We start from the raw sequence: 11,070 nt of genomic DNA on the forward strand, positions 1-11,070 counted from the left end.
AGACCAGCCTGGGAAATCATCACAAAACTCCATCTCTCCAAAAAAAAAAATAAAAATTATCTGGGCACGGTGGCACATGCCTGTAGTTCCAGCTACTTGGAAGGCTGTGGTGATCACCTAAGCCTGGTAAAGTTGAGGCTTCAGTGAGCTGTGATCACACCCCTGCACTCCAACCTGGGTGACACAACAAGACACGGTCTTAAATGAATAAATAAAATAAATAAATAAATAAATACATAAAGGATTGTATGAGAATGGTGTCTTATTACATAAACAATAGCAAAAAAGTTAAAAGTCATTCTAAACAAAGAACTACATTGAAATTTTGAAGTAAAAATGTTAAATAATTGAAATTAAAAATTTTACTTGAGTGATTCAAAAGTATATTTGAGCAGGCAGGAGGAAGAAACTATGATCTTAAGAACAGGCTAATCAAAATTATCCAGTCTGAGAAATGAAAATAATAATGAATGAACAAAAATGGAGAACCTCAGAGACCCACAAGGACATCATAACTGTGCTAACACATATATAATGTGACTCTCAGAAGGAGAGAAGAAAGATAAAATAAAAATAATATTTGAATAAATAATGACCAATGGCTTCCTAATGGAAGAAAAATATTAACCTACAAATAAAAGAAAACTTCAGGTACTATGGATTTAAGCAAGTCCAAATTTAAACATATTATAATCAAACTGTCAAATTCAAAAACAATAGATCTTAAAAGCAGCAAAAGAGAAACAACTCATCAGGGACAAAAGTCTTCAATAAGATGAACATTAACTTCTGATCAGAAGCTATGGAAACGAGAAGGCATTGGAATGACATACTAAAAATGTTAAAACCAAACTATTGTAAAAAAAGAATTATCTACATAACTATGTTTCATAAAAGAAGGAGAAATTAAGACATTTTCAGCTTCACAGAAACTTCATATGATAATCTCAAATGATGTGGAGAAAGCATTTGACAAAATCCATTATTTTTCATGATAATAACACTCAATAAACCAAGAAGGCAAATTCTCTAAATTGATAAGACATTTATAAAAAACATACAGCTAACACCGTACTGAATATTGAGACACTTAAAATTTTCTACTTCAGATCAGAAACAAGACAAGGATGTCTCTTCTTATCAATTGTATTCAACATTGTATTGGAGGTTCTAGCTAGAACAATTATGCCAGAACAATAAACAAAAAGCATCCAGATTTCAAGAAATAAAACAATCTCTATTCATAGAGACATGGTCTTGCATATAGAAAATCTTTGAAAATTCACTAAAAAAACCTATCAGAACTAATAAATGAGTTTATCAGGTTACAGGATGTAGGATCAATATACAAAAATAAATTTTATTTCCATATACGGGCAAGAAACAATCTGAGAGTAAATTAAGACTATAAATCCATTTATAGTAGCATCAAAAATAAAAGTTATTAATTTAACATAAGAAGAGCAAGACTTTCATCTGTGGACTACAAAACATCTTTAAGAAATTAATGAATTTCTAAATTAATAGAAACACATCTCGTGTTCATACATCAGAAGACTTAATATTATGTCAAGATGGCAATGCTCATCAACTTGATCTACATAATCAATGCAATTTTTATCAAAATCCCAGTTGGCTTTGTTACAGAAATTGACATACTGATATTAAAATTCATATGAAAATGCTATGATCCAGAAGAGTCAGATAATCTTGAAAAAGAAGAACAAATTTGAAGGGCTTATATTTTCTATTTCTAAACTGACTATAAAGCCATAATAAACAAGATCACATATTATTGGCATAGGAATATACATATAGATCAATGGAATAGAATTCAGAGTCCATGAATCAACCCTTGCTTTGACTCCATGGTAAACCATTTTTTGACAAGAATGTCAAGGTTCATCAGATGGGAAAGAATAATCATTTCAACAAATGGAGTTGTAACAATTGGTTATCTACCTGCAAAAAAGCAAGATTGTACTATGTCTTACATCATATATAAAAGTAAACTAAAAAAGTAACTCATATAAAATTGACTTAAATCATACACATACATGAAAGAAAAATATATAAAACTCTTAGAAGAAGTTATAGGAGTAAATCTTCCAGAATTTAGGTTATTGGGCAGTATTTTCTTACATATGATGACAAAAGCACAAGGTACAAAAAAAGTTGAATTGCACTTAATGACAATTAAAAACCTTTGTGCTTTAATGAATTCCATTGGACAAATGGCCATATGCAGAACAGGAGAAAATATTTACAAATTATATATATGATATGTGACTTGTATTCAGAATATACTAAGAACTCATACCTCATTAGGAATTAAATGTTTTCATCCCCTTAAAATTCATATTTTGAAGCCTTAACATGCAATGTGAATATACTTGGAGATAGGGCCTATACAGAATTAATGAGGGTTAGATTTGGCCATAAGAGTGAGACTCTCGTAATGTTATTCAATCACTTATAAGAAGAGATACCAGGGTGTTTGCTATTTCTGTTAACATGTGAGGATACAAAAAGAAGGTGGCTATTTACAAGCCAGAAACAGAGACTGCACCAAAACCTGGCCATGCTAGGACCAGGACCTTGGACTTTTCAATCTTTAGAACTGTAAGAAATAAATTTCTGTTGTGTAAGCCACCTTGTTTGCAGTATTTTGTTATAACAGACTGAGCTAAGACATGCCTCAGTAATAAAAAATACAAATAACCTAATTTTAAAAATGGGGGCCGGGCGTGGTGGCTCATGCCCATAATCCCAGCACTTTGGGAGGCCAAGGTGGGCAGATCACAAGGTCAGGAGATCGAGAGCCTCCTGGCTAACATGGTGAAACCCCGTCTCTACTAAAAATACAAAAAATTAGCCAGGCGTGGTGGCAGGTGCCTGTGGTCCCAGCTACTCGGGAGGCTGAGGCAGGAGAATGGCATGAACCTGGGAGGCGGAGCTTGCAGTGAGCCGAGATTGCGCCACTACAGTCTAGCCTGGGCGACAGAGCAAGACTCCATCTCAAAAAAAAAAAAAAAAAAAAAGTACACCTGTGTAGGCTACTTACTGTGAATGAAGCTTGCAGGAATGGAAGTGGCTCTGGGTGAGTCAGTGAGTGAGTAGTGAGTCAATGTGAAGGCCCAGGACATTACTGTACACTGCTGTAGATTTTATAAACACTTCAACTGTCTTGTAATAATACTTAGCTTAAAACACAAACACATTGTACAGCTGAAAAAAATTTTCTTTACATCTTTATTACATAAACATTTTTCTATTTTCAATGTTTTAACTTTTTAAAATTTTTTGTTAAAAATTAAGACACCAGCATACACATTAGCTTACGTCTACACAGGGTAAGGATCATCAATATCATGGTGAAACCCCGTCTGTACTAAAAATAGAAAAAATTAGCCAGGCATGGTGGCATGTGCCTGTAGTCCCAGCTACTCGGGAGGCTGAGGCAGGAGAATTGCTTGAACCTGGGAGGTGGAGGTTGCAGTGAGCGGAGATTGCACCACTGCACTCCAGCCTGGGCGATAGAGCAAGACTCTGTCTCAAAAAAAAAAGGGGGGAAAGGATTCAAATAGACATTTATCCAAAGAAATTCTAGAAATGACCAATAAGGGGATTAAAAGATGTTAAATATCATAAGTCATTATGAAAGTGCAAATCAGAACCACAGTGAGATGTCACTTCACATACACAAGGATGGCCATAATGAAAACAACATGGACAGTAATGAACGTCAGCAAGAATGTGGAGAAACTAGAATACTAATACACTGATAGTAAGAATGCAAAATGGTAAACTAAAACAGTTTGCCAATTCCTAAAAAATTTAAAGCCCGAATTACCATGTAATGCAGCAATTCTACTCCTGGGTAAATACCCAAGAAAATGGAAAACATATGTCCACACAAAAATGTGTACACAAATATGCATAGTAGTATTACTTATAATAAACAAGTAACTCAATTGCTTATCAACTGATGAATGAATAAACAGATATATGTAATGTTCTTCAGTCGTTGGTTTCCTGATGTATGTTACAACATGCAAAAACCTTGAAAATATTTTGCTAACTGAAAGAAGCCAGACAGAATTGGCCACATATTATGTGATTAAATTTATATGATATACCAAAAGAGGCAAACGAATGGAGACAGGAAGAAGATTAGTGGTTTCCAGGGGCTGAGGGGAGAGAAAGCGAGAAGTGACTGTTAATAGGCATGGGGTTTCTTCTTGGGGTGACAAAACTGTTCTGGAATTTGATAGTGATGATGGTTGCACAGCTCTGTGAATATGCCAAACAGCACTGAAATGTATGCTTTAATAGTATGTATATGATGGTATGTGAATTATATTTCAATAAAGCTCTTACACAATAAATAAAATGCAATGACTTTAAAAGAAAAAGATGTGCAGTTTGAAAAGAAAGTAAAATTGTCTTAATTTACAATCAATATGATCTTGTACATAGAAAGTATAAGAAATACAGAAAAAATACTACTAGGTCTAATATATACATTCAACAAATTTTCAAAACACAACATTCATATATAAAACTTATTTATATAATCATGGACCACATAATGATGTTTTTGGTCAGTGACAGATGACATATATGATGGTGGTCCCACAAAATTATAATGGAGCTGAAATTTCCTAACACACAGTGATATGGTTTGGCTCTGTGTCCCCACCCAAATCTCATCTTGTAGCTCCCATAATTCCCAAGTATTGTAGGAAGGAGGGTCCTGGGGGGAGATAATTGAATCATTCAGGTGGGTCTTTCCCATGCTGTTCTCATGATAGTGAATAAGTCTCGTGAGATCTGGTGGTTTTAATAATGGGAGTTTCCCTGCAGAAGCTCTCTCTCTCTCTTTGCCTGCTGCCATCCATGTAAGACGTGACTTGCTCCTCTGCCATGATTGTGAGGCCTCCCCAGCCATGTGGCACTATAAGTCTATTAAATCTCTTTCTTTTGTAAATTTTCAAGTCTTGGGTATGTCTTTATTAGTGGCATAAAACAGGCTAACACAGTGTTTACTATACTTTTTATCATTTAGAGTGAACATCTACTTATTAAAAAAAACTTAACTATAAGACAGCCTCAGGCAGGTCCTTTGGGAAGTATTCCTGAAGAAGGCATTGTTATTATAGGAGTTGACACCTCCATGCATGTTATTTCCCTTGAAGGCTTTCCAGTGGGACAAGGGGATGGTGATATTGATGATTCTTACCCTGTGTAGGCCTAAGCTAATGTGTATGCTGGTGTCTTAATTTTTAACAAAAATTTTTAAAAAGTTAAAACATTGAAAATGGAAAAATGTTTATGTAATAAAGATGTAAAGAAAATTTTTTTCAGCTGTACAATGTGTTTGTGTTTTAAGCTACGTATTATTACAAGACAGTTGAAGTGTTTATAAAATCTACAGCAGTGTACAGTAATGTCCTGGGCCTTCACATTGACTCACTACTCACTCACTGACTCACCCAGAGTCACTTCCATTCCTGCAAGCTTCATACACAGTAAGTAGCTTACACAGGTGTACCTTTTTTTTTTTTTTTTTGAGGTGGAGTCTCACTTTGTCCCTCAGGCTGGAGTGCAGTGGCGCGATCTCAGCTCACTGCAAGCTCTGCCTCCCAGGTTCACGCCATTTTCCTGCCTCAGCCTCCCGAGTAGCTGGGACTGCAGGTGCCCGCCACCATGCCCGGCTAATTTTTTGCATTTTTAGTAGAGATGGGGTTTCACCGTGTTAGCCAGGAGGGTCTCGATCTCCTGACATCGTGATCTGCCCACCTCGGCCTCCCAAAGTGCTGGGATTACAGGCGTGAGCCACTGCGCCCGGCCCAGGTGTACCATTCTTTTATACTTTATATTGCATTTTCACTGTACCTTTTCTATTTTTAGATATGTTTAGATACATACATACTTACTATTGTGTTATAATTGTTGACAGCATTCAGCACAATAGCAGCCTGTACAGGTTTGTAGTCCAGGAGCAATACACTATACTATATATCCTAGGTATGCAGTAGGCCAAATCATATAGATTCGTTTAAGTACACTCTGTGATGTTTGCACCACGATGAAATTGCCTAAAAACACATTTCTTAGAATATGTCTCTGTGGTTAAGCAATACATAACTGTCTGTTTATGTAGTGAAAATGAACATCTGTAAACAAGATTATGAAAACAATTTCATTTTCTATAGCATCAAAAAAAGAAATAAAAATATAAATGAAAAGCTTAATGAAAATGACAAAACCATTTCTGAGAAAAATAAATGAAAATGTAATTAACTGGAGAGACATTCTATATTCATGGATTAAAAGATCCAATATTATTAAGATGGCAGTTCTCTCAAAAATGATCTGATGCAACACTAATCAAAATCCCAATAGGCTTTTGTTTCCTTTTTCAGAAATAAACTGACTCTACATTTTATATGCAAATGAGAAAAACCCAGAATAACTAAAACAATTTTGAAAATAATAACAAAATTGAGAGACATTATACTTTAGTTTCAAAGCTTATTACAAGGGATGGTTATCAACACAGTGTGTACTGACACTAGATTATGCATATTTTACCGTTGGATAATGTAATGTACATATTATTAAATATACATGTTTATTCAGTGGCATATAACGCTTCTTTTTTTGAGAAGTGGTACTTTGCAGGATGTTTTACAACATCTTTGGTACTAGCCTTCACCCCCAAGTAATGACAATAAAAAAAATCTTCAGACATTGTGTTAGGCTATTTTCATGTTGCTATAAAGAAATACGTGAGACTGGGTAATTTATAAAGAAAAGAGGTTTAGCTTGGCTCCTGGCTTTGCAGGCCATACATGCAGAGTACCAGCATGTCATTGGCTCCTAGTGATGGCCTCAGGAGGCTTGCATTCATACTGGTAGGTTCAGGGGAGCCAGCATATCACATGGCAAGAGCAGGACCGAGAGAGAAGAAAGATGTCCCAGACTGTTTTAAACAACCAGATCTCACATGAAGTAACTGAGCAAGAATTCACTTATCATCAAGAGGATGAGGCTAAAGCATTCAGGAGGGACCCACTCTGATGATTCAATCACCTCCCACCAGGCCTCATGTCCAACAATGAGAATCACATTTCAAGATGATATTTGGAGGGGACAAACATCCAAACCATATCAGATATTGAGAAATATCCTTTGTGGAGAAAAGTAACTCCCAATGGAGAACCACTGATATAGGTCAATGAAAGAATTAAGCATCCTGAAAGAAACTCTCATATTTATGATGCATTCATTTTCAATCAATGATAGGCTTTTCAACAAATGGTGATGAAGTAATTGGATATCCATTGGCACAAAGCTGGATATAGCCTCTTACATGCTGTCATACATGAAATTAACCCAGAAAGAATCATAGTCTAAATGTAGGGGCTAAAACTATAAAATATTTAGAAGAAACAATAGCAGAAAATTATTGTAACCTTGGATTAGGCAAAGATATTTTAGCATCATCTATAACAAAAAATATCAATAAATTGGGCTTCATAAAATTTATAAACATTTGTACTTCAATAGTATACTTAAAAAATGAAAAGACCAGTTCCAAGGTGAGAGAAAATATTTTCAAATTATGCATCTTATAAGGGGATTTTATCCAGGATATTATATAAGGAATCTTTGCACCTCAATAATAAGATAAACAACCCAAATTAAAAATAGGCAAAGTATTTTTATAGAATTTTCACCAAAGAGATATAAGAATGACTAATGAGCACATGAAAAATGCTGAACATTAGTAAAAAGGGAAATATAAATTAAGACTCCTGTAAGATTCTACTTCACCCACTAAAATTGATATAATCAGTAAGACAAGTGTTGTTGAAGATATGGGGAAACAGGAAGTCTCACATTTTGCTGATAAAAATTTAAAATGTCCAGCTAGTTTGGAAAAAAATTTATTTGTTTCATGAAAGTTAAATATAAGCTTATCATACAACAAGCAATTCTACCCTTAGGAATCTACCCATAATTTCATGTATGAAATATTTCATGTATGAAATATTCTAAATATTCTAATAATTATACTATTATTATACATAATATTATACATAATAATGTATATTAGAATATTTTCATACAAAGACATATACATGAATGTTCAAAATAGCATTATTTATAATAGCCCCAAACTGGAAACAATTGAAACACCTAAACAGATAAATAAAATGTGATCTATCATACAATGGAGTACTATATAGCAATGACAAAAAGAATAAACTTCTGATACATGCTACAATATGAATGTGAAAACATTATGCTAGTGAAAGAAAGCAGAAACAGGAAACTACATATTTTTATAATTTCATTTATATGAAATGCCCAGAAAAGGCAAATCTATACAAAAAGAACAGATCAGAGGTTGCTTGGCACTTAGGATTGGAGCAGGAGTTGGCCACAGTTGGATACAATTCTGAAACTGGATTCTGGTAATGGTTGTATGACTGTTACTAAAATCATTAAACTGTACACTTAAAATGGTGATTCTTTCTGTTTGTTTGTTTGAGACAGGGTCTCACTCTCTCCCAGACTGGAGTGCAGTGTCACCATCATGGCTCACTGCAGCCTCTACCTCATGGGCTCAAGTGATCCTCCCACCTCATCCTCCTGAGTAGCTGGGACCATAGGTGTGAGCCACCATGCTTGGGTATTTTTAAAAATTTTTATAGAGTTAGGGTCTTACTGTGTTGCCCAGTCTGATCTTGAACTCCTAGGCTCAAGTGATCCTCTTGCCTCAGCCTCCCAAAGTTCTGGCATTATAGACAGAACCTACTGAACATGGACAAAGTGGGTATATATTTTATTGTATGTAGTTAATGCCCAAAAAAGCTGTTTAAAAAGGTATATACTTCTAATCTTACATAATTTTTTACTCTAAGCTTGAAAGTCCCATATTAATCCAATTACCGTTAGGGTTTGTTCTCTTCCACCCCTAACTATTTCAGGAGCTTTGTTGCTTTTCTTCTCAGCTCCTGTCCATTATCTGCATGGAAGTAACCACTACACAAGATCTCAGGCAGGGGCAATGTGCTAGACATCTTTGATTTGTAAAATGATTATCGAGAGAATGAGAGTTGTAGTTCTCTCTCCCAAGTTTACTTAGAGGTTTCCTTCTTAGTTTAGTTGTACACTATTTCTTCAATTGATGAATACCATGAATTATTCCACTTTCAGGGAAGACCCAAAACTCAATATGTAAGACTTGATTTTTTCCCTCAGTTCAACCTCAAATCACTAACAAAACCATGAATTATAACAGCTATAACTCAGTTATAAATGAGAAGAGTCATTTCATCCCACAAGGATATAGATAGGTAAATAAACAATTATCATCAAGTAAGCAGGAGGAAATGTTCTGAAATTTCCGAGGAGGGAGCTGAACAAGATTTTTCTAATACTGGAGTATGGGACTGGGTAATGAAAATCAAAAGGGAGTTCCCAGCCATTGACTGGTGGAAAAGATTATTCTAAACAAAAGAGAGAATATGTATAAATGATTAGTGGAATTGCTTTTTAAAAAAAAAAAAAAAAGATGTCCAATAAATATTTGTTATAATGAAATGCACTTGGTGAACTGAAGCATTTAATGAAGCTGGGATGTGAGGCATAATTGCAAGATTAATGGAAAATTCAAAATGATGTGTTGGAGTTAAGATACAAGAATTTTGAGAATCTTGTATATCTTATTAAGGAATGCAGACTTTAGTCAATGTTCAATTGACAACGTTTAATTTTTGTTTTATTTTAAACATAAATGGCAATCAGTTTTGTATTATAAAAAGATCACTTTAGGGGTTCTAAGGAAATTTTGGCATGGGAGAAAAACATGGCAAACTAAAGAGTTAGAAGGCTGTTGTATAGAGTTCTGTAAAGACGCTCCATATTTTTATGACACAAATTAAACAACTAGAATTAATAAGGAGGAGTACAGACAATGGACATTATTTTTTAAAAGTGCATTGCATTCAGAATGCATTATTTAAGAAATCAAAATTACCTATAATGTGTTTAAGATGTTTCCATAATATTCTAGCATGAATTTTTATAAAAGGAATGGCTATATTATAGTCCTAAAATTTTATACCCATTGCCAAATAGTTGATAATTCTTATTATTTCTTTGACATTCAAAATATAAAATTAAACATGGATTTACATGCACACATATATGTATACAAACATGGAATGATAGATAAATCTGAAAAATATAAAAATAAGAGTAAAGAAATGCACAATAGTTGTATAACTACAGTTAATAATAATAATGTATATTAGAAAATTGCTTAAAAATGTACACATAAATATTCTCACCACAAAATGTAAGTATGTGAGGTGATGTACATGTTAGTATACATTAAATATTCTCACACAGGTTGACTTTACAAGATATAGAATTTGTGTATTACTGAAGATTACACTTATCATTTAGTAATTATTATTTCTTGACATGTTTTGACTATTGCCTATCTGTCTTCCAGGAGCTTACAAAATATTCCTTGAGGTTAGGAAGAAAGACGTCCTTTGAAGATAAAAGGGCATCTCCATTTCCGAACTCACTTTCTAATTTCATGTAAGCCATGTTAACATTCAGTAATTGCTCAGGATGGACATTTCCTCTGGGTACATACACAGAAATAGAATTGATGAATCATATGGTAGTTCTATTTTTCATATTTTGAGAAATCTCTGTACTATTTTTCATGATGACTGCACCAATTTACATTCTCACCAATAGTGTACAAGGATTCCTTTTTTTCTACACCTTTGCCAACACTTGTTGTTTCTTGTCTTTTTAAAATATTTATTCTAACATGTATAAGGTGATATCTCATTGTGGTTTTAATTTGCAATTCACTGATGATTAGTGATGTTGAACACATTTTTAAGTGTCTACTGGGCATTTTTCTGATGGCTTTGGGAAAAATATCTATTCAAATCCCTTCTCTAAAATTGAGTAATTTATTTTTTTGCTGTTGAGTTGTGTGAGTTTTTATATATTTTGAATATTAACACC

General features: G+C 34.0%; 1 long non-coding RNA gene across 1 annotated transcript in view; it reads left to right on the forward strand.

Moving 5' to 3' along the window:
* Window positions 1–10,590, forward strand: part of LOC105375473 (uncharacterized) — a 66,227-nt gene extending 55,637 nt beyond the window's left edge. The window contains exon 10 of the long non-coding RNA XR_927909.2: window positions 10,535–10,590. This is a non-coding gene — a long non-coding RNA (uncharacterized LOC105375473). The remainder of the gene's footprint in view (window positions 1–10,534) is intronic.
* Window positions 10,591–11,070: the final 480 nt, after the last annotated feature.

This window comes from Homo sapiens, chromosome 7, assembly GCF_000001405.40.
Source record: "Homo sapiens chromosome 7, GRCh38.p14 Primary Assembly".
Lineage (NCBI taxonomy): Eukaryota > Metazoa > Chordata > Mammalia > Primates > Hominidae > Homo > Homo sapiens.